This window comes from Homo sapiens, chromosome 1 (genome assembly GCF_000001405.40).
Source record: "Homo sapiens chromosome 1, GRCh38.p14 Primary Assembly".
In the NCBI taxonomy this organism is placed as follows: Eukaryota; Metazoa; Chordata; class Mammalia; order Primates; family Hominidae; genus Homo; species Homo sapiens.
The window spans coordinates 97,795,548-97,821,892 of NC_000001.11; the positions used below are offsets into that span (position 1 = coordinate 97,795,548).

Genomic DNA, 26,345 nt, shown 5'->3' on the forward strand with positions numbered 1-26,345 from the left:
AAAAACAAACATTCCTACATAAACTCATTTCTATAATTTTACCTTTGTCTTAGCAACTTCACTTTTTGACATAGTGAACAACTCATATTTCACATGTACTCACCATTGTAGCTTTTTAAAAAATAATGGACATACTATACACACTCCTATATTATTTTATATTTCAATGCTGAAATTTTAATTAACATATACATATACTCAATAAAAACAATAAAAAATATGACTCATTCTCTGGAAAATTTCATTATTAAAATTACTGTTATTTTATAATGATAACATCTCATTTTGTTGTGCCCTAGGTATAATGAAACACTCTTTTTATTATAATAAAATGCAATAAAAAGTGTTCTTCCCTGTGTTACTGCTGTTATTTTGAATTATCCTTATAAATTTTCTGATAATGAGGGTAGGCTATCATCAAAAGATGCCTCCATTAAAATATAACAATGATGGTAATAGCTTAAAACTTGTATTGTACAGCTGAAAATTCATTTGTACACATATCTCTTTTCATCCACATACCAATTCTGTTAGGTGAATATACTTAACCCCATTTTACAGATGTATCCCCATTTATATGACAATGATCATAATAGCTTAAAACTTTTATTGTACAGTTTAAAATTCACTTTCACACATATCTCTTTTAATCCACATACCAATTCTGTTAGGTAGGCATTATTATTATCCCAATTTTATAGATGTAAGTACTAAAAAGCTAAGTTGTTTTCCTTGTCCTAAGCAACACAGCTAATTAGGGAAGTTAATTTTTCTCCACTGCTTTTAATCACATTAAACTGATCCTTCTATTCAACACATGAAGTTAACATTCTATGAAAATAAAACTGGAATCTCTGAGTCTACATTGATCACAAATTGAATGTATCCTCTCAATACACTGTTTTAGTCCTTTATATCTTTGATAGAAGTGAACATCCTAATTATGCCCATGAGTTACATATATGAGATGCCTTCACCCCACTTCAATAAAACTCTTTCTTAATGCCAATATAAAAAATACTCTACATTAATTGGTAATTGTGAAAAGAGACTCAGGGAGAGAGTCTGAATCAACAAAAGAGGAAAATATAGGAAGGAAAGGGAAAGACAAAGAAGGAGGGTGAGACAGAGAAGAGAGAACAAACATCCAGGAGTAGTGATGTGAATTATTTGCTTAGTTACCACAAAAGTAATAATTACACTAACTCTGTGGGAACAATGGTAATTTCACAGTAGCTCACGTTACTGTTATCACCTTATATCCTGATAACTGTGAAATTAATTTGTGGCACTACTGTATGTGTCGGCCATAAGCTGTTCCCTTGGTAACAGTATTATGCTACCATAGAGAAGGAATGTTTGGCAGTAAAATGGGCAGCAGCAAGCTGATTACACAGGGAAAAGCTTCTATCTAAATACACATAGCATAACAATCACCCCTGGAAAAACTACATGGCTTACCAAAAGAGGTCTCTCTGTTCACTGTCCATTATCTGTTGACTGAACTAGTTCAAATGAATAACAAGTAATGATCAAATTGCCAGTTTATATTTTACAACAGAGTCTTATCTTTAAAAAAATGCAAGGAGGAAATACAAAAATGTAATACATTTATCTTGCTTTCTTTTCTATTTCCTCCCCTGAAATTATTACTATGCTATTGGAAGCCATACAAACACATATATACACAAATATACATATGCTTCAATGAAAAGCAGGCATGCAGCTGACAGCTCGGCAACCCTGAGGTATAAACAAAGATACCAGACATATTTTTTGAAATAATTTTGCTCAAGGAAATTCATTTCAGTAGGAAGATCAGTTACTCTGCTGTCTCCTACCTACAAAGTTACAGAAGGAAAAGTTCAACATTTGGCCAAAAGGATAGTAGCTTACATTTCTTTTTTTTCCTTTTTTCAGCACAGAATTTTGAAGAGAGAATACACTAAAAGGGAAGAACATAACTACATGACATCATAAGAAGTCCTGAATTAGAAGCGTATATTTGAAAGGTCATGCATCCTGAGCTGCCAACAGCTTAACAACCAGAGGCAGAGGCCAGCTTTGCCAGCTCACTGCTTCTACTCATCTTTCATGATAGTAGCCAGGCTGAATATAGTTCCAGGATGATAATGAATTGGCTGGGCATACTGTTTATATTAGTATGTATGTTCCTGTACTAAACCAAGCATCATGAGGCCAGCACTATTTTGCCATTTTTCAGAAAAAAAATATGAACCCTTCAAAACATAGTAAGCCTTTTTTAAAGTATATATTTGATTTTGAAATAATCAAAATATATGTAGGGATATGACTGCATCCTAAGATTTATGATAAGTTCTGATGAGTAATATTTTCTTTCTACATGCAAGGCAAAGTTAATAGTAACTAGAAAGTCTTTATTTGGCATATCATAGATTTCTGTCAACCAAAACAACTAACTCTGGGGAACATAACGTTCTGACAACTTCAGAAGAGTTAAGTCACAGACAAAAGTTTATTGGATCTTAGTTGGCTCCTACCCACCAATTCTTTCTTTTCCAAGTGGAACATAATAGATTTTCAATATTTGTTAAATAATTGAAAAAATATCCTCAAAATTCTTTTTTGGCCATCTTCCCAACAAGAATATGGTCCTAACCTATATGTAGAGTCCTTTGCTGTGTCATCTATTTCTTCAGAATTATTCTCCTAATTCATATGTCTGGATAGTCTCTCTGAATTGTTATAGAAAATTAAAAATGTGAACTATGAAATTAATTTTTAAACTTTTATAACCATCTAGTCATACACAGAATAACCACAAATATAAACATGGTTTCAAAGAATTCCCTGTGACAATCAAGCAAATAGTGAAATAGTTTCTGCTATTATGAATTTATCACTTACTCAGTGTATGACCATGGGCAAATATCTTCACCTCAATCCTGTGAGGCAGGTACTATTATTCTACCCATTTTAAGTATAGATTTGCAATATTTGTTAAATATTCAATATTTGTTATTATAAAATGAGTATACTAATAGTACCTACCTCACAGTATTGAGGTGAAGATATTTGTCCATGTACGTACAATATGGGCATAATAATAGTACCTACCTCACAGGATTGTTATTAAGAATAAATAAGATAATCCATACAAAGTATTTAACACATTATTGAAAAATTAAATGATCAAAATAAAGCTTGTTGTTATTGTTATCTTTTAATAAATGCATCTAAAGTATTTTTAAATGTATTCACTTCAGTTATTTAAAGTTTCATCTGCTGTATCACAGAGCACATATATGTTCAGAAACATTTGTTAAGTATCTATGTACCAGATAATAAAGGTGGTATTGAAAAAAGAATAGGCATTGTAACAGGCAGACAGGAGTATAAAGTCCAGCCTTGCCACTTATGAGACTCCCATCTTCAAATTATGGAACCTTTCTGAATCTCCATTTTATACCTATAAAAAGGGGTAGACATTACGTCTCTACTTGCTTCTTATCATTAAATTAAAATTCATATTCCTTTCTATGGCAAGGAAACGAGTCCTGTATAGTCTTGTAATTCATCTCCCTCCACCAAACTTCATCCACACTGACTTCTTTAGGCCAAGCTTGTTCCTATATCAAGGTGAGCCTGGAAGCCTGTACACTGTTCCACAGTGGTACACCTCCTCTAGCCCTATAGAATGCAAAATGGAAGCACAGAGACATTATACAATGGTTAGCCAGTCACATTACATCAAGTAAAAACAACAAGTTACCATGAAGTTTATTTATTGGAGTGGCTTCAGTATTTCTTGAGAAACACAAATGATGACCCTGATTTGTATGATCAATCAGCAAGTTTTCAAAAAGGTTACTGAGTATATGACAGTAATTTCTAGAGCCAAAGATATACCCGCATGAATAAGCTTTCATCCTGAAAAAAAAATCACCTTCTGAAACTCCATGCTAGTTATCTGAAATAATAAAGGTGAAGTACAAATTATGTGATCTATCATAACCTGAAATAAACATATGTTGCTACTCTGTGATTTGGTCTTTATCCCAGTCTGACCCATTTCTTGAGACTGTTACCTCAAGATGCTCTCCCATGGAGCTTTCACTGAGAATACTTTAATCCATTTTCTTAAAAATCCATAACAAAATTACTAAGATCTCAATGTCTTATCAAAACTTTTTTTTGTCTCAAAAATGATACATGAAAAAGATAATCTTCAATAAATGCAGGTAAAGTATTTTATACCTGCAGCATTGAATTGTTCCACTGGAGGGTAGCAGGGGGAAAGAAAGTTCACGTTGCCTAGAACAGAACCTTGTTGTTACCTTAAAGTGTGTTCTTTCTGAATTTTCTAATTCAATCATCATCTCTTCCAATGCACATCTCCAAACCTCCCATTTCACTTGTTCAATTCCCCCATTAGTAGTGATATTTATGCTCCTCAGGATCTCTGTGTAGCAAAGTCCTTTAGCGAAGGCACAAGAACTAGACTATAGAAACATTCAAATTCCATATTTGCCATTTATTTTTTGTATAAAGGTAGATGTCTTCATATTAACTGTAAAATTAGAGTAATAATGGTAGTTTAAATTTAAGTAATAATACCTACTTCATAGGAGTGTCACAAGAATTGAGTAAATATATGTAAAATATTTAGAAAAGTTGTTTGCACATAGTAGGTGAGCAACAAATTATAGCTATTATTATTATTGACTTCTCTTATTTTTTCTTATCTATTTACTTCAAGTTTTTACTGTTCAAATTCTATTTTTCATCACTTCAAATAACTCTTTATAAAGAGCCCCCTTGCAGTTCTTCCATCATGCCTTTCTTAGAATATCCTAAGTCTAGATGAAAATATCCATGTCCACGGTGAAAACCTATGCAGAAAACTAGCCTCATGGTCTAACCTCTGTCACAGATCGAGCTCTCAACACTGCACAGCAATGGAACTTAACTTCTTTGGTCAAACTCCCACTCTCCCATTCCCCAGAATAACTCATTAAAACTTTCCTCTTTCTCTTCCAATTTCCAAGCCAGTCCTATTCCATTCCTTCTTCCTCACCAGATAACCTTTCTTTCTACTTCTGTGACAAAACAAAGTTTTCAAGTGGCACTCCCAAATAGTGCTGCCACCATCTCTGTGGACCTATTTGTAACTGCCACTGTCTTTTTTTCTGTCTGTTATCATGATGCTGTTTCTGACCCTCCTCCCAGTAAACAGGAATCCCCACAAGTGTAACTAGATTCCATCTCCTTCCACCTTCTGTAGAGTCAAATGCTTTTAACTTTCATCTCTTCTGTTGTTTCTTGGAGCCTCCTTAATACCATTTAATTATTTTTGATTGTTCCAATCTGATAACATTTCTCCCTGAGTCTTACATCTCCTTCCTCCTCTGCACAGCCAAAAAGTAGGAAAAAGTTTGTCATCTATAGTGACAATCTCCATTTCCTTTCTTTGCATTCATCCATCCATTCATTCTACAACCTATTCCAATTGTTATGGACTGAATGTCTGTGCCTACCAAAATTCACATGTTGAAGCCCTAATCCCAGTGGGAAGCCTTTGGTGGGTAATGAGGTCATGATGGTGGAGCCAACATGAATAGGATTAGTGTCCTTCTAAAAAGAGGACAGAAAGCTAGTTAATCTCGTTCCACCATATGAGGACACAGCAAGAAGACAATACTCTGAAAGTCAGAAAGAGGGCCTTCACCAAGAACCTCTACTGGCTCCTTGATCTGAAACTCCTAACCTTTAGAACTGTGAGAAGCAAATGTTCGTTGTTTAAGCGATCCATTGATGGCATTTTGCTATAGCAGCCAAAACTGACCAAAACACCAATTTAGCTTCTGTTCCTACTCCTCAAATGGATACAGCTTATGTCACTAATTATGGCCCTGCCACGAGCTTATATTTTACTGAGAGAGATGCATTAAAGATTTTTAAAATGTAAGATATATAGTATATTAGATAGTTGTAAGTTCTCAGAAGAAAAATAAATTAGAAAAATGGATAAGAAGTGTTAATGCTATAAGTTGAATTCCAATTTTATATGGTAGCCAAAAAAGGCGAACCTGAGAAGGTAACATTTGAGGAAAGAACTGAAGGATGAGAGGAAGTATCTGGGGGCATGCAAATATCTGAGGGCAGAGGGATCAGCAAATGGAAAGGCCCATTATTTTTCTCTCTCGTGTTTCTTTTTTCCTGTATTCTGTGAAACTGTTTTATGGTTTGCCTCCTCTCCCTTATTGAAATTTCAACCATGTGCAGTAACTATTCACTGCTTAGCATGTTTTTTTCCAATTTCTGTAGTTCTTGTCTCAATTGTTTAATTTAAAATGTGATAAAGATTATTTATTTTATTATTTGACTAGTAGTGTCTAATTTTCATACAAACTTAACATATCTCCTTTTAATATTTTAGAAGTAGGATATAAAATATAAATAAGAAATTAAAATTAAAATTCATCAGTATATCAATTGAGCTTTTACTTTGTAAAGGGCACTATGTCTAACAGAAAAAATGATGCAAAGAAGCCAGATTGTAGTGGGTTGAGGTATGACTGGGAGGTAAAGACGTAGAGTCACGCTGTTCAGACTACATATTCAAAAAGCTTGGCAGTGAAATGCCTTCCAGATAAATTTGTAGTTGGATACAGCACAATTCTGACAGTTGGCTCTAGCAAATTCTTTCAGGTTTTTAAAACTATTTAATTATGAACATATGAACATAAGCCTTAATTAAGACAAATCTTTCTTCTGCCTGAATAAGAACTGCCAAAATGTCAGAGGGCAAGACTAAAAGTTCCTGTCTGAACTCATTTTACAGTCTCCACATTTGCAGACTGTATAATGCTCCATACTACCAGCAATCACTCAGCACATTCTCACACTGTTTTAGGGTCACCTCTTCTGCAGTAGGAACTTTGGACTTACACAATAAGAAATATATAAGGAACCACAGAGTCAGAAGCAGCTTGTACTACTCAAAGCACAATTTTCCTTTTGGGGCCTCAGATCTATCCCTCAGATATTTATTTTACCAAGACTCCCAACTATATCTTTTCAAGATTCACTGTCAAGAGACACCTGACTTTTGAGATCTTATCCTCCCTTAGTATAGAAGTCCCAGTTCTCCCACTTATCCTTCTTGCCTTGGTTGAACTTTCTAAAACCTAGATCTCTTGCCATTAAAAGTGTCAAATTTCCACAAATCCACAAAATCAATCCTTTTTCTCCTATGCTATAGTCCAAGATGTTGTCCTGAAGTAATTTCAGACTATTTTTCAAAAGTTCTATTGGATCCTATGTCAATTTTTTTGTGATGTTTGCTGTTCGTTTAATTCACAACATCTTTTCCTCAAACTAAACTGAACTGGCAAGAAACAGATACCAGCAAAAAACTGATACAGGCAAAGTTTAAATGATTCAAAGTTTACTTCTTACATGCCTTCAACATAAAAGTTTATTAATCTTTCAAAATGAACATATTCTCTCAAACTGAAGGTATGAAATTATTACAATGAAAAGAAACTAAATATATTAAATACTGTATAATTATCTCATTTATATGGCTAAGGTTATTAGCTTATATATGGTGTCTTTAAAATAATTCCCATTTGCAGTTACATTTCAAACTGCCGATTTGACGCACCAGTCAGGAGGAATGCCACGACTCCTGCTGTGCTAAACTTACTGAAACAAATAGGAAAAACACTTTATTGTGTTTTGTTCCTGTTTTACTATTTTGTAATTGGACTACCCTACAGGAAATACTCTTCTTTATAATATATCACTAAGTTACTATAATAATCTTGTTTCATGCTCTTCCTTTACATATATTCCTGAATTATCATTTGTCATGGGTAAAAATAGTATGACAGAAAAAAATTGAGACATTAATCAAAAAGGTGTTTTAAAATTACTGATAATGGTGATTGCTCTTAATTACATGATTGAATGTATATTCAGAGAATGAAAATATGGACACACATACTTCTATCCAAGTATCTATGAAATGGGACTACACAAAAAACAGAGAGATGAGAAATATTTTGAAAAATGTGACTTCTCCAATTTTTTAAGAAAAAGATTAACAGCATATATTTCATTATTAAAAGACTACAAAGTTCCCCTTCTGATTATTAAATGAAATATGGCTGAAAAGTTAAAATTTCCTTGTATATAAAGCAGTCTTGAAATTCACTCCTGTAAACTATGACTTAGGGTTATATTTCATTATGCTTATATATTACCATGCGTTACATGGTTAGTTTTACCAAAGCAAATAACTTTTATGAAAAGTGCTGATATCTTTATTGATGAATTTAAAGTGTTAATTCAGAAAATACTTGGCAACTCCACCTCATATGTACCTGGACTTAAAATATCAAGACCATTTTTAAAGTGAAAATAACTTTGAAAATATTTTGTCACTGAAGCAGTGCAATTCATTTAAATGGTTTTAAATCGAAGTAGTTTTATGAACAATTGTGCTAAATAGCAATGAAATTTCATTTCTAGTGAATAATGAAAAGTCTCATCACAGTCTATTAAAAAAACAAAATTTGTTGTTATATTAAACGTTATTTTTCTTGACCCTTATTCTCATTTGTTATGAATATCTCTGAGGGAAAAACAAGAGCCTATGTAGTGGGATATAATATTCAATTTAGAAATTTATATAAATAATGCCTGTTCTTTATGTATTATCACCACTTACTAAGGATCAAACTACAAGAATACTAAAAGATTTTACTTTACATAAAGACACATATAGAATTTTCTCAGAAATAGACACGCTTGTGAGTAGTGAAACAATTGAAAGGAATTAAACATAATCATGCAAATTACTTCCCATAATATAAAGTCCTAAAACTATTTGTGAAGTCTCAAGATGTTAAGATGCTATACAATTTCATTAAGAAAAATAAATGAAAACATTTATTTCATAAAACATTAATTAGACAAATTCTACAGTGTATTTTGAGTTTATCTATCCCTACAGTATGTCATTGATATTTATCTTCCTACACCAAAGTCAAAGTCATTTGATTGTGTTCACCCAAGTATAGCATACTCAATGATACAGAACTCTCTCCAGAGAAAAGAGGGAATTAAAGAAATTAGAAGATAACAGGTTGCATATTCTAGCTGTAAAAACAGACACTTCAGGATAGGTAAGTGTTTAAGTGGTCACATAAAAAGCTCAATTAAAACTAATTTAACTTCATCTCTTAGGATTTGTAAACCTATTCTTTTGAGCATTGAACTGAGTTGACAGGACAAAGTTATCCTTAATTATTATTTAACTAGACCAATTAATAACTAATTCTTACCAAAGTAATAAATTATTTCATTTACATATGAGGTAGCTGCAATTCTATTATGGTTTTATAAAAAAGATAAATACTAATTTTGCACTTGATAAAATATTTTGTTAAAACAAGCAATCTAGCTACATTTTGATTCGTTTAAATGAAATATAAATTGAAAAGTAAGGATCACAGAGATTCAGAGGCTTACTAAAAATTACAGTCAGTCCCACTGACAGAGCCAGATGCAGAACCCTGGGAATGTAGGAGACCAACTAAAAGGCAAAGCAAATGAATTTGGGGATTGAAATGTTGAGTCTGAAGTTTTTGAAGAACAATCAAATGTCAAACAAACATTTAAAACTGTAAGTTTGAGATTCAAGAGGGTGACTAGGGCAGAGAACACAGACTTGAGAGACACTGATACACACAGTGGATAAGAGCCAAAGAATAGAACATGAACATAGAGTGAGAACAGGACCAGGCACGAAACTTTCTTACGTGTCCAGATTTTAAAGAAAATATAGGGGAAAAAAGACAGTGGGTTAAATATTTTGCTTGAAATAAACAAAACAGAAAGTAAATTATTTTAAAAAGCACAGTTTTGTCTTCCTTTAAACATAATGATATGTAGTTGCTTATATTCAATCAATCCATGACTTTGATTACCAAAACAATGTGCTGAGGTAGACACAGAAAGGAATTTCACCTTCTAGGCATAATGTAGTAAGTCACAGGAGGCCAGTGAATGTTCTCTCTGCTAAAATCTAGAAAAAGCTGGATAAACCACAACACCATATTTTTTAGAGGCATAAGAGATCTGAGAAAGCAAGGAGAAGTAGACAAACAAAAGTTCCTAAGAGAGGAGAACTTTCTTAAAATGGGCTAAGGAGAAATCAGCAAAACGTTTAATGATCACCGGCACAGGCGGAGGGGTGTTATAATTGGAAAATTAAGAGAACAAACACATCTGTTTCCCCACTGGACACATACTGAATTCAAGAGGTTTGTGGGAGGCTAAAAAAGAGAGGCTAGAAGCTTCCAAAATACAGAAATAAACAAAATGAATGAGGGTTCAGGAGAAGCATAAAATGTAAACTGTCAGACCTGAAAGAAAAAAACTGACCAAATTCAAATCATAGTTGGAGATTTTAGCAACCCTCTATCAGAATCATAAATAAATGACAGTAATGATACTGAAGAGCTAGATAAATCTACCTATTGCCTCAATCTAACTGATATTTATAGAACACTAAATCCAACAATTGCAGAATAAACATTTTTGTCAAGTTCACACAAAACATTCACCAAGAATAGACCACATGCAGGGACAAAAATCAAGTTTCAAAATATAATCTTACACATTTTATTTTCTTGCCATAATGGAAGAAAATTAGAAGTCAATAACAGTAAAATCTAGAAGAAAATGCAGTTGTTTCACATCTTCACCAAAATTTGGGTTTTGCCAGTGTTCTTAATATTCATCATACAAGTGGGTATAAAATAGTATGTTACTGTCGTTTTAATTTGTGTTTTCCTGATGACTAATGATGTTGAGCACACTCTCAGGTTTCTACTGGATGTGTGTATATCATCTTTTGGGACATTTTTTACTCAAATATTTTGACTATTTTTAAAAATTGTACATACTTCCTTTTTTAGAATATTTTAGGTTCACAGCAAAATTCAAAGGAATGCAGAGTTCCCATATTTCTGCTACCCCCACACAAGCAAAAACTCCCTCACCATCAACATTCTGAATCAGAGTACTACACTTATTACAATGATGAACTAACATTGACACATCATTATCACACAAAGTTCATAGTTTACATTAGAAATCAATTTTAGTGTTGTATATCCTAAGGCCTTTGACAAATGTATAATAATATGGATCTATCATGATAGTATCATACGAAGTATTCTCACTCTCCTAAAAATCCTCTGTGCCTCACCTATTCATCTCTTCATCTTAAACCCCTGGCAACCCCTCATATTTTCACTGTCTTTTAGTTTTGCCTTTTCCAGGATGTCATACATTTGGAATAATACAGTGTGTAATCATTTCAGATTGATTTCTTTCATTTAGTAATAAGCATTTAACTGTACTCCATGTCTTCTCTGACCTGATAGCTCATTTATTTTTAACTCTAAATAATATTCCTTTGTCTGGATGTACCACAATTTATTTAGGCTTTCATCTTCTAAAGAACATATTGGTTAGTTCAAAGTCTAACAATTATGAATAAAACTGCAGTAAACATCCGTGTGCAGGTTTTTGTGTGGACATAAGTTTTCAATTACTTTGGGTAAATGCCAAAAATGCAATTGCTGGACTGGATAGTAAGAGTATGTTTAATTGTGTAAGAAAGTGCCAAACTGCCTTCCAAAGTGGCTTTACTAATTTTGCATTCCCAGCAAAAATGAATGACAGTCCCTTTTGCTCCACATTCTCATCAACATTTGGTTGTGTCAGTGTTCTGGATTTTGGCCATCCTAATTGTGTAGTGGTATCTGTTGTTTTAATTTGCAATTCCCTAATGACATATTTTCACATGGTTATTTGCCATCTGTATATCTTTCTTGATGAGGTGTATGTTCAGATCTCTTGCCCATTTTAAAATCAGGTTATTTTCTTATTGTTGGATTTTAGTGCTTCTTTTTATATTTTTATGTCATTTATTTATCTGTTATGTTTCTTTCATAAAATTTTTAACCAGTCTGTAGCTTATCTTTTCATTTCCTTGACAGTGTCTTTTGCAGAGCAGAAGTATTTAATTGTAATAAAGTCTAACTTATCAATTGTTTATTTCATGGATCATGCCTTTGGATTTGTATCTAAAATGTTATCACCAAATCCAATAACATCTATATTTTCTATGTTATCTTCTCAGAATATAGTAGGCATGTGTTTTCTATTTAGTTCTACACTTCATTTTGAGTTAATGTTTGTGAAAGGTGTTAGATCTGTGTCCAGTGTGTCTAGATTTTTTTTTAGCATGTGTATGTCCAGTGGTTCCAGTATCATTTATCGATTGAAATGCCTTTGCACCTTTGTCAAAGACAAGTTGATTATGTAGGCCTATTTCTGGGCTCTGTATTCCAGCTCATTGATCGTGTCTATCCTTTCAATAACACCACATTGCCTTGACTACTGCAGCTTTACAGTAAGTCTTAAATTTGGGTACTGTCAATTCTCAGACTTTGTTCTCCTTCAATATATGTTAGTTATTCTGAGTCTTCTGCTTTTCTATATAAGGTTTGGAATCATTTTGTCCATAAGCAAGATATAACCTCCTGATATTTTGATTGTAATTACACTGAATCTGTGGAACAATTTGGAAAGAACCAACATCTTGAGAATTGTGAGTATTCCTGTCCAGAAACACAAAAGATGTTTCCATTTATTTTGTTTCTCTTCAATTTCTTTCACCATATTTTTATAGATTTCCTCATATAGATTTTGTACCTATGTTATGAGATTTATTAAATATTTCCTTTTTTGGTGCTAATTTAAATGATATTATCTTTTAAATTTCAAATTCTTATTGTGCATTGCTGACATATATGAAAACAATTAACTTTTGTATATTAATCTTGTATCTGGCAACCTTGCCTATTAGTAAGGAACTAATAATTGTTGATTAGTTCTAGGAAATTTTTTGGTCAATTTTTAGGATTTCCTACATGGACAATCATGTCATCTGTGGACAAATGTAGTTTCATTTATTTCTTCCCAAACTGTACACCTTTATTTTCTTTTCTTTCTCATCACATTAGCTAGTGCTGCCAGTATGATGCCAAAAAGCACTGGTCAGAACGAACATCCTTGCCTTGTTCCCAATCTTACCAGGTCTTAAATTGGGGTTTATATCTTTTTATTATTTAAAATATTTATTTATATATCCATAATCTTTAAAAAATATAATAAATATATGGAGTAATTTTATTTTGTAAAAACACTGCCAAACTGTCTTCCAAAGAGGCCATAAACTTTAAGTGACTCTTTCACTGCATTTGAAAAGTTTTCATGTTTAATTTCATTGTTCAGTTCAAAATATTTTTTTAATTTCCCATTATTTATTTTCTGACCTATGGTTATTTTGAAGTGTTAATTTCTCAATGTTTAGACCAGTATGGCTAAATATGAGAGATAAATTGAGTTCTAAAATATAAAGTCATGGAGGCAGTAGAGGGGATCAGGATCACATAGGGCATTGTCAGAATTTTGACTTTAAGTGCAGTTTGAAATCACTAGTGGGTTTTGAACAGAAGAGAAATATGATTTGACCAAATTAAAAGATCACTCAAGCTCCTGTGTGAAGAACAGTCTTTATGGATACCAGTTACAAGAGTAATCTTCAACCATGACTGCATTCTGAAATTATCTGCAATGGGATGCTTCAAAAACACTGATGCTAACTGCTACCTCTCCAACACATACACATACACACACAGACACGTGATTCATGCATGCCTGTGATTCTCATTTAATTGATCTGAAGTTTGTATTGGGATTCTGTTAACCACCCTCACCACACCTCCAGCCCAAGATGTCAGCTGTTACAATAGCCAGCAATTACGGTGGCTTGGACTGAAGTGGTAGTCTTAGAGGCTGTCAGTCTTTTAATATTTTGGATATATTTTTAAAGGAGAGTCAACAATAGTTTCCGATTGACTGAGTGTAGAATACGAGGGATGGTTTAAAAAAGACTAGAAGAGTCAAGGACTACCTAAAATTTGGGAGTAAGCTAACTTCTGTTGAACTACAAGACAAATCAGTGGTCACAGGGAGATGCAGGATAGCTGAGGTACCATGTAGTATACACAATATCACAGAATTAAGTGTCTGAGGTAACTGTGAGAGTAGGTGACTGGGTTAAGGTGGAGAACCAAAAATACTGGAGAAGAATTGAAGGAATAGAGGCCAGCTACTGAACGCCTCATCTATGTAGGTTATTGAATTAACAAAGAATCAGGACAAAAGTTGGACAAAGCGAGCCCAGAGACAAACTTTATAAAGAATGAGGAGTGTGACCAAAGGATCCATAGGTGTCTACAGGAAGGATGGGTAACAGGCAATATGATATAATGGGAATCACATTTTATAGATTTCCAGAAGAGAAAGGTAAAATAAACAAGCACCGGCCGGGCGTGGTGGCTCATGCCTGTAATCACAGCACTTTGGGAGGCCGACGCGGGTGGATCACGAGGTCAGGAGATCAAGACCATCCTGGCTAACATGGTGAAACCCCGTCTCTACTAAAAATACAAAAAAATTAGCCGGGTGTGGTGGCGGGCGCCTGTAGTCCCAGCTACTTGGGAGGCTGAGGCAGGAGAATGGTGTGAACCCAGGAGGCAGAGCTTGCAGTGAGCCGAGATCATGCCACTGCACTCCAGCCTGGGCAACAGAGTGAGACTCCATCTCAAAAAAAAAAAAAAAAAAAAGAAGCATCAACGGGAAATAAAAAGGGCACTTACCCATCTCGCTTAATACAACAGATGTGAAGAGAAAACAGCATCATGTGTTAAATAATTATATAGCATATCATCCTATTTTCCCTTTAATTACACATTAAAGGGAGTGAATATTTAAATTTGATATTGTCAAATAAACCTGCAAAGAAACATTCTACTAATGTACACTCTCACCAATACAGTTCCCTATCCATCCAGTTACACCAGAGACCTGACTGTTAATTCTCTTCTCCCATCCTTCACATTTTACATCCTAAACATCTCTCCAATCCCTGCACATTACTTGAGCTCTAATATCCATATTAGAGCTCTCATATCCATCTCTTACCAAAACCAGTATGACAGGCTCCCATGCAGACTCTCTGTATTCATTTTAGATCCTTCTGAACCTTTTTATTTCAGCCAGAGTGATATTTTTAAAAATTCTACAATTATGGTGATATATCTCAAAAGCTTAATTATTTTACATACTTACCTAGTATACGAAATACTCCTAGTATAGAGAGTATTTAGTAATACGAAATACTCCTAGTATAAAGACAAAATTTCTCAATGGGGTTTCCCAAGGTTGGCCCCTACCTATAGCTTCAACCTCATCTCCCACAATGTAACTCCGTACCCTCTGCGTTTTTCATATTGGTCTTCAGTTACTTTCATCTACCCCATGCCCACAAATACTTTACATCAGAAAACTCTCATTTATACACTGGCCTATTTTCTTAGCCTATATCCACTTACCCTTCTTTCAGACTTCAGCTTGATTAACTCTTTGTTGAAGACTCCCCTGTCAAATCTTCCTATAATTTGTTGAAGACTCCCCTGTCAAATCTTCCTATAATTTACACTCTTAGCAACACTTCTTCCTCTTTGTAGAATTATCTTAGTTACAATTTTATATACATTTGTGTGGTTATTTGATCAGTGCCACCTGCCTGCCCGTTATCCAATTTTCATGAGGATAAAGCTCATGAAAATTTGCTCATAACTGTATCTCCAGTTTCTACTTGTACTTTGTATATGTAAGAACTCAATAAATATTTGAAAGACTAAACCAGGTGTAAGAGTATCTCCACAAATGTTCAATGCCACTGTGCCTTCAATGGCCTTACACTATAATTCTTAAACTAGAGTCATCCCTTAGATATAAATGCTAGTAGTATTCACAAATACAAACATTGCTCAAAACAATAAATATTTCAATGTAATAACCCCTCTTTCTTAAAGAAAACCTCTAAAATGTCATAGATTAGATCTCAGCCCCTTGCACATAAAAAATAACTTTGTTTCGAAACTTCAGTTTTACAATCAATCAGTATTCTTAATTCCATCTTAATACACATACTAAAATTTAAAACTATATTAAAATACATAATCATGTTGCAAACATACATAACTTTTCCCCTATTATAATCTCCAAATTGTAGGCTGAAATTCAAAGTGTATATGATAGTGCACTGTAACTCTTAGCTATAAATAGTTCTTATAAAGCCTAATACCCTTTAATTATCAATCACAGATAAAGAGTCTGAGGTCATTAAATAAATTAATTTAAAACTATAAAAAAGTGATACATACACATTTGAAGGTATCATTAAGATTAGAAAATCACTATAAGTGGAAATTTTAGAAAACAATACAACAGTCATCTCTTTCTGGTGATAACTTCTTTCTTTCCTCATCAGTTATTATATAGCTGTGACTATTTTCAGATTTTCCTTTACCCACTGCTTCTTCCCCACTGGTTTTGCTTTAATCTTCCCTCATGATTTTAGAATTAATAAATGCATGCTGATGACTTAAAACATTTTATGCACATCACTGGCTTCCATCTAAATACTTTCAAAAAACCACCTCTTTTGACAGTAAATCTACCCCTAGGCACTAAGCTTTGAAAGCAGGAATTGAGGGCTGTTCATTCTTATACCTTAGCACCCAGCCTTGTGCCTGGTATTTGACAGGCCTCATAAATTAACTGAATTTAATGATCAAGAACAGAAAAAGATTTGCCTCATATTGTTTTTAGTAACTACAATCACTTTCTGTATAATTAGAGATAAACCTGAAATGTGATAAGCCATTCAAAAATATTCAATCTGAATCATGGTGCAAGGAATGTGTGTGTATAATATTTATGTATGTCTTCAAACACTAAGGACTTTTTTCCAAAGTACATTTTTAAGACTGAGTACCCTAACAGTAACACAATAATCTAGATTTAGTCAAGTCAAATTTATCTACTATGCTATATATTTATGAGGATACAAAATATAAAACTTGGCTTATGGAGAGGTATTCATGGTCCTAAATTATTTGGCATTTTAAAAAATACTCTATTTCTGGGCATCATCATATTTAAAATGTATTTGTTTTTATAAACAAGCAGAAAAATCATAATCACAGGCATACAATGATTCAGGTATGTCTAGAAATTATTAGTTTGCTCATATTAATTATAGGTTTCAAAGAGTATACGTTAGTATTGATATAGTCAAGAAACCCTTCTGCAATAACTATGTCATCTATGGAAATATGTGTGACAAAAATATTTATCATGCTCTTTAAAAACAGACAGGTACTTTGGTGGAAGTACTGAAAGAACAATCAATTCTCAAAAAATTTCAGATGAACAGATTATAATCCCGAGTAAATATGAAATGCAGGACAAGTCTTGTATTAATGCCAAAGAACAATAGACTTTCATTTTGGTGGAATGCCCCATACAAGGAACAACTTTCAGACTGCAGTTAATGGTAGTGACTGGCTCGAACTGGCTACCCAATGTATTTAAATTATTTAATATAGCTTCCTCATATGCAATCATCTACCTTTAATTATGTGTCAAAACTAGTAATTATTTTCATTCACAGGAAGAAAATTCTTATCATTTTTTCACTACTAAAAAGAAAAAAAATCTGATTCCCCAAACAGCTTTTTCATCCAAGCTGTTTAAATTTCAACCCAATTCTTACCTCTGGGTGAGAAATGTCTCAAGCAATATTCCCTCCCAGAATATGAAATTATAAACATCATCTAAGAGGATGAAGAAATGAAATATGAAGAAAAAATATGACAATGACAAATATAATGCCAGTAAGTAATTTAACCTTATTGTAAATCATTTTTCTTTCCCCATCTAAAAGAAAAAAAAGAATTACTCTAAACTCTCCTGAAAGATAGAGAAAGATGCTAGCAAGATAATTGGTTTGTAAACATAGCACAGATATCAACTAAGAGTATTACCTCTGTGGTCCAATGACAAACACCCATTTCCACTAAAAATTGATGTTATGGAAGATCTCTAAATAAAATTACTACTATTACTTCTATTCCCCAGCCAAAATAATGTCCCTTAAAGTGGGACAGAGCTATAAGCCTGAAGTTAGAAAACATACTAAATTAAACTAAATTTCCTAGACCCCTTGGGAAACATTAGGAAGACTGATCTTTAAATATCTGTATATAATTTCATGATATCTATTATTTTATTCCTGTATTCCTTTAATGAAGCTTTCTCTAATATGTGCATAAAGTGTACTGACAAAGTACTTTTATCCCATGGCCTAGATAGGAAACACACAGACACACACACACACACACACACACACACACACACACACACCCCTAAAATTTTCTGAGAGGTAATGAGTTCTGCAAGAGGAATGAGTCTGGGTTCAAATTCTGGCTCCTTCAATTTTGTGCCATATGCCCAAATTACTTTACCTCTTTCATTCAATTTTTATTCACCTAACCTTTATTGATCTCTTTTGGAAAAGATGACACTGAAGCTGAGAGCTGAATAGCAAGAAGCAGCAAGGCATGGAAGAGCCCATGTAAGAAGGAGCCCAGGTAAGCATCAGGTCCAAGCCTGGAAAGTTTTAGGGATGGAAAGACGGTTGGTCAGAAGCTTTGTGAGCAAGGCTGAAAGAGGTTAGACATATGGTTAATGAGTCAGAGGAAGATCACAAAGGTTTTTGCAAGACAAGTTAGGAGTAAGGAATTTGTCATTTATTCTAAGTAAAATAGCAAGCCTTTGGAGAGAAAGGTCACAATTTGGTTCATCCTGGTGATCTGTGGAAAATGGATTTTTAAGGAAAGAATGTAAAAAGGGAAATTAGTAGTTCAGATGAGAGGTAAGGAGGGTAGCAGGGGAGAAACAAAACTGGACAGATTCCAAGGATATAGCTTTAACAGGAATTTTTATACAACTTTCTTACTGATTAGATGCGCATGTGAGAGAGAAAATTTTTTCCACGAATTCCAGATTTGTAGTTCAAATAACTAAAGATGATGCTACTGCCATTTACTCAGATAGAAAGACTTGTGGATGAATTGGTTCAGTGGAGGGTTGTGGTGAGAAATCCAGGAATCTCCAGCCTGGCCAACATGGTGAAACCCCGTATCCACTAAAAATACAAAAACTATCCAGGTGTGGTGGTACATGCCTGTAGTCCCAGCTACTCAGTAGGCTGAGGCATGAGAATTGCTTGAATCTGGGATGGGGAGGATGCAGTGAGCTGAGATCGTGCCACTGCACTACAGCCTACGCGACAGAGTGAGACCCTGTCTCAAAAAAAAAAAAAAAAAAGAAAGAGAGAGGAAAGAAAGAAAGAAAGAAAGAAAGGAGAGAAAGAAAGAAAGACAAAGAGAGAAAGGAAAGGAAAAGGGAAAGGGAAAAGGAAAAGGAAAGGAGGAAGGAAGGAAGGAGAGAGAGAGAAAGAGGGAGAAAGAAAGAAAGAAAAGAGAAGAAAGAAAAGAGAAGAGAAGAGAAAAGAGAAGAGAAGAGAAAAGAAAAGAAGTCCAGATCCAGATATCACCTTTGGATATGTTAAATTTGGGTTGTTATTTACATACTGAAGTGGCTAAGTCAAGTGTCTCATTGAAGTGTAAAGCTGAAGTTTTTTTAGGGGAGACATCAAAAGTAGAGATGAAAGTATGGCAGTTATCATCAAATAGATGGTTATCTAAGGAAAGAAATGATAACTACCTAGGAACAGAGGAGAAAATAGTAGAAACAAGGCATTCCAATTTTATGTCCTATAATATGTCAATATTTAGACATTGAAAAGAGGAGGACATAGCTGCCAAGGAGAGTTAAAAGGAGTGGCCAATGAAGCAGGGGAAGAATAAAATGATGTAAAGTAACTTAAGCCTAGGAGGAAAAATGTTTCAAGAAAGGATAGTCAATTGAAGCAAATGCTGCAGACCAGTCAAGTACAAATTACAGATTTGGCAACACAGAGCACTCTCACTGAACAGACAGCAAGAGATGTCCAGGTGGAGTGGATTAAGGTGAGACCAGGAGATTAGAAAATGAAAAACCTTTATTGACAACTCTTTCATTAGGCTTTGAGGGTGAGGAGCAAAATGGAGTGGCACCTGGAGAGGAAAATGTAGACAGGTTTCATTTATTTGTTTGTCTTTAAGATGCACAATATGCAAGTATGAAGATGTAAATAACCATGTAAAAGCAAAAATTAACGTTTCAGGAGAGAGAGAGTAATTACACAAGGGAAACTTTTGAAAAGACTAGAGGAAATGGGATCCAGATCACAAGTGAAGGTGTTGGCCTTTGACAGGAGCAAGGCCTTTCCAGCCACCATATGAAGCCATTGAAATTAGGGTTTATTCCCAGTTCACTGCATATCTGCACATATCACAACAGCTGTCACCAAATAACATCTTGCACATCAATAAAACACCAAGAACATTTACATTTTTAATTTTTAATTTTTTTTTTTTTAGGAGATGGATTCTCACTACATTGCCTAGGCTAGAGTGCAATGGCTATTCACAGGTGTGGACACTGTACACTATAGCCTCATACTCCTTGTGACTCAAGTGGTACTCACACCTTAGCCTCCTGAGTAGCTGGGACTACAGGTGCCAAACACATTTTTTAAATGGAGCTTAGAATATCCTATATACCATCTCCTTTCACTCAAAAAAAGAGAAAAAAAAAAGAAAATACAAAAACAAAAAACCCTCTTTGTAGACTACAAGAAAAGTATTCAAGATTCACTAATTTATTAAATATGCATTGACTAAATTTTTAATAAAAGTAATTCTTTAGATAATTCCATGGGTATAAAACTTACAAAGGCATTAAAATAATAGACCACAATCAATATTTTTTCAATCGGTAGCAGATATCATAGATATGCCTTAGTATAGATACCATGATTCATCTACTTAAAAGAATCATAAATAAACTAACACAATGTTGTCCTTTTATAAGTACCATACTATACAAAGCTAATTGTCCAACTAAGAGCAACATTATACTGTTTCATAATGTAAATGATTCATTGGTGGTTATTCCACATTTTAACTATAAAACATAAACATGAATAATCAATGCTAGTTAATTCAGTGGCACTAGTACCTATGTCTCATGTTTGTTGCATATTGGTGATTTCACAAGCTAGATTGTCTGTTTAATTCCTAATCACACTAATTACTTGAAAGAGTAATCCAGGAAATGTGACTTATTCAATTTCAAAGAACAGCCTAGAAATTAGTAGATAGGGCACCTCAGTAATGTTATATAGTCATGTTCATTGATAAAATTGGAAGGACTTCATAGTATTTGTATTAATCTATCAGAGAAAATCACAAATTCTTAATATATTTCTCCAAACATTATTTGAAATTTCTTCTAATGGACTTAAGTCATGTTTGCTCTCAACCAGGGGTCTGCAAACTACAACACAAGGGCTAAATCCAGATGGCTGCCTGTCTTTATAAATAAAATTTTATTGGAACACAGCCACATCAACACAGCCACACCTATGCATTCACATATGGTCTACAGATGCCTTTGTACAACATCAGCACAATTGAATAGTTGTGACAGAAATTATGTAGCCCAGAAAGCTAAAAATACATGCTATCTGGCCTTTTACAATAAAATGTTTCCTTACTTCTACTCGATTTTCAAAAGAGGCAACACATTTTTTAAAAACAACTTGTCAGAATGGGAGACTTTTTTCCCCAAAATAAAATAAACACAAATACCTTCAATGGAAGGTATTTAGTACACATCATAATAACCTGTAGAAATGCTGGATAAGAAATTGTATTAATTATCTTCTAAATGGAACAAGCTGATATATGAGAAATGAGAAATATTATAACTAAATGTCAATGTCTATCTTCCAGAAGAGATGACTTACAAAAAAACATAGGGCCAGCTATTTTATTATAGTATATTGTGACATATATACCAAATAATTAGAACGAGTAATAAAAAATGCCAACGTGCTTATAAACAATATTATCTGTAAATCTATTCTATTAGTCTTCTTTAGTTGTAGAAAATGACAAATATAATTACAAAATACTTATTCAAAACATGTAAACCACTAATTTTCCACTTGTAAAAGCCTGATTCAAAAAGCAATTTACTTTAAGGTTTACTTAAGCTTTGCAACTACATTAAAATATGATAGTATATACACAACAGCTTGTTAACAAGATTATCATAACATTAAAATCATAATGTGGCACTTCAATTATGGATACTTAAAATTAAAGCTAATCCTCACAGTACCAATTTTTATCTCCTAAATAATTTTAGCTATTAGCTGCTCATTCAAAGTCTGTATCTAAAATGATAAGCATTCTAGAGTAACGACTTAGCTCTGCACTTTTCTTTGGTAGCAAAACAAAAGCTGCATCCCTTCTTTCCTAGTCCTTAATATACAATCTTTTGATACTAAGGGGAAAATGCAGTTTTTTCCTGACCTTGCTTGGCTCAGAGCTTCTTACTCATGTTGCTGTTGCCAATGCTGTTGTTTCAAACAGATACATTCTGTATATCAATGGTACATATTTCTTTTCTGGTTTTATCTTTCCAAAAATATCAAACTATCACTTGCAATATTAATTTGATATTTTCTGCAAATACTATGTTTGAACAAATGTCACCTAGTACCTACTAGGCACCAGGTGGAACAAACCAATGCTTAGATTAATGAGTATTATAATGTATTTCATAAATAAATAATTAATAACAATTAATTGTGTTAGCCTATTAACTGATTTCATTTTTTCTACTGTTTCACCAGATTTGTACTTGATAATTATGTAATCAATATTTCTCACCTTTGAATTCTAATTCAAGTTTAAAGTGAAGGAAAAGATTCTAAATTGAAAGAATTCTGTATTTATAAATGACAGTTAATAACAAATCCATAAATAATCCAGAAGCATTGTTGCCGACCATATGGTTGATTTTACTAAACACTGGTAACAGCTAATATAATTGTTTTCTTCTATTTCCCCAATTAAATTATATTTGGGCCATTTGAGCAGTGAGATTGGAAACTGAGTGTCAAATCTTGCTTTCACTCACTCCTAAAGTGAATGAATGGAAGTAATATTCCTAATTTACATGGCAAACAGATAATACCAAATGTGTGTATCCGTGTGTGTGCATGTGTATATATGTGTATAAAGACATATACACACATTCATATTACAAAATGTACATGAAACTAATTATATAAATTACCAAATGTGTGTATCCATGTGTGTGCCTGTGTATATAGGTGTATAAAGACATATACATACATTCATATTACTCAAGGTACACGAAATTAATCACATACATTACAAAAATTACATAAGACTAATTACATATATTTTCTGACCTGTATTTCAATGATATTTATTAGGGCAGGTGCATGATTATGTAAAGTAATCATGCACTTTTGTCTTTTGATTTCAAAAAAATCTGAAAGTACTCATCCTGATTGACTTCCTCATGTGTTAGGTGGCATAAACCAAATCAAAGAACCTGCTCTGGACATGGTGAAATATGTGTTTTTCTGTAATAGAAATGATAAAGATAACATGTTCTCTGTGCATAGAAGACAAGAGAATACTCTTCTCTGCTGATTTGGGGAGTAGGGCTTTCAGGAGGTTCCTGCTGATCTATTTAGTGATAGAAAACTTGGAAAAACATAATTAAGATAGAATTTTAGAAATGATTAAAATAGAAAAGAGTTGAAACATTGCTTCTGAATCCAATCTCACTGCTCAAACTTTTCAAGTAGTTAAAATATACCCTTATACATGGGCATTTCTGATTATAAAGGAATTTGTTTTTCAACACTTTGAAAATTAAAAAAAAGTTACAAACGTTAAATCATGTATTACTACTTCCATCATTACATAACATTTTCAGAATGTTTAAAAAATTATTTACTTTCCATACTATTAAACAACCTGCTAATTTCACTGGAAGTATTTTGTTAATACTTTCTCATTTTATTTATTTTATATTCTTCTTCAATGCCACTTTGATTTTTCCCTCATAGCTTTATATTTACTTTGTAAACTACTTAATCAATTTGCTAATCTCAAATACTTAGCATGCCTTGTCCTTCCACTCTTCCATTTTTAACTATTTTAAAAGAATTCCATAAAATTTCCTTAAATCTTTGTAATCCTAATGAATACACCTGAAAGGCAAGGGAAGTCCAAACTCCAAATGCTGTCACAGTGCAAGTTTTCCTTGACTGCAAAGAGGAGATTTTATAGAGAAATATATCCATACATATACACACATGTAATATCTATATAATACATACCACATATAGAAATATGCATACACATGCACACACACAAATCTCTAAGAATAAGATAAAGTAGAATAATGGCCATATTATTATCTTTAAATCTTATTCAGAGGAACAAAATTACTCGGTTCATGGTTTACTAATCACAGCTTCCTCGGAGTCATGGTTCATGTAGAAGTATCAGTTAAAGTATCAGTGTAATTCAACCATTATATTTAGCAACAGATGCAATATTAACATAACCCAAATCATAAACAGCTAAAATAATACCTAGGTTCCAGTAGTAACACAACCCTTAGGTCAGATGGTAGTCAACACCAGTACTACTGAATACTAACAGAGGAGTGAAATTAAAGACATACATTAGGCTAATACACACAGACGGGACATACCTGAAAAGCTGAAAAACTACCTCTTTTAAATGTCTTGGTATCTCTTTTCGGACCTCAGCCTTTCAATAAAAAGTTAGATTGCTATTTATATTGCTTCCACCTCTAAAAGTCCTTGAGTTGAAGGTAAAGAAACAATGACATTAAAGCAATTTTAACCTTTTGACTCAAATAATATTTAGAAATGTTAGACCTCTTAAAAGCTACTTTCCAAGTTTACATGGCTATACTTTTATATTTAACTCTGTATAAATGGCTGTTTATGATGCACCTACAAATAGTATACACACACCAGTAAAAAAGCCAGCACAGATAAACTGTGCAACTCAACATCACCATCTAGTGACAAAATTCTTAACACGTGATAAAGCCAAGCGAAAAAGAATACATTTCAGAGACATTCTGTACTGGTAGTTCATCTTTATAGTACTAATGTAAATATAACAGATCTCACTGAATAGACTTCGCTCTGCAAATAAAACAATGCCTAATGGCAATGTTGGCACTCCAAAAATAATTTGTATTCTTGCCATAGAGATATACTCATAAATCTATTAACAATCTATATTTTATGTGTATTAAGAAATACACTGTAAAAAACTCCCAATAGTATTTTTATTTTTTTTATTAATGAGTATATTCTATATGTACCTCTTCTTTTTCAGAATCTGACGTCACCTTTTCTCAAGTTATTCAATTCAAGTACCTTCCAATTGCATATATCTATTACCCATAGCCCTCTACTGCCTGTGAGACTGAAAAGGGACAAAAAGACAACACATTGGAGGCCGAGGAGGGCAGATCACCTGAGGTCAGGAGTTCGAGAGCAGCCTTACCAACATGGTGAAGCCCCATCTCTAATAAAAATACACAAATTAGCCAGGCATGGTGGCACATGCCTGTAATCCCAGCTACTTGGGAGGCTGAGGCAGGAGAATCTCTTCAACCTGGGAGGCGGAAGTTGCAGTGAGCCGAGACCGCAACAATGCACTCCAGCCTGGACAACAAGACTGAAACTCCACCTCAAAAAAAAAAAAAAAAAAATACAACACAATGTTAAAAGTGGCCCCATCCTTCCCTTTACTGTTCAGGATTTATCACAGGGGCTAAAATAGGTACAGAATATGATAGTAAAGAAATCAAATCCCTTTGGCATGATTACAGAGTTGAATCAACCAAGATAAAGAAAGAATATGATGAAAAGAAGTTGAGAATTTTACCTCTAAATTCATTATCATACTATAAACCAGAGATTTGACCTAGAGATGATGCACTTTTTTCCTGTCCTTAAAATGCTTTTTCTTTGATTATCATTTTCAGAAATGCTGTATAAGATTTCCACACCCATGGCACTACAATAGACTATGTAGAAGTTGGACAAGATATACAGCTTCTAGTATTCTATATGCTAAGACTGCAGTGAACTTCTCCATTGAATTCCATTATTTATACATTACACATGTAATTCTTGTAAGCACATACAACATTAAAAGGAAAAATGTATACAAACATTATATTTTATATCTTATTTTTATTAATTTTCATAAATTACAAAGCATTCTCTCCTCTATATCCTAGTTCCTCAT

The 26,345-nt window shown here is 33.4% G+C and overlaps 1 protein-coding gene and 1 long non-coding RNA gene across 9 annotated transcripts in view; one reads left to right on the forward strand and one right to left on the reverse strand.

Moving 5' to 3' along the window:
• Window positions 1-26,345, reverse strand: part of DPYD (dihydropyrimidine dehydrogenase) — an 843,317-nt gene that overhangs the window by 717,805 nt on the left and 99,167 nt on the right.
• On the forward strand, window positions 1,374-2,504 carry DPYD-AS2 (DPYD antisense RNA 2). The gene is made up of 3 exons (NR_046591.1): window positions 1,374-1,525; window positions 1,668-1,748; window positions 1,921-2,504. It is a non-coding gene; the product is annotated as a DPYD antisense RNA 2 (long non-coding RNA).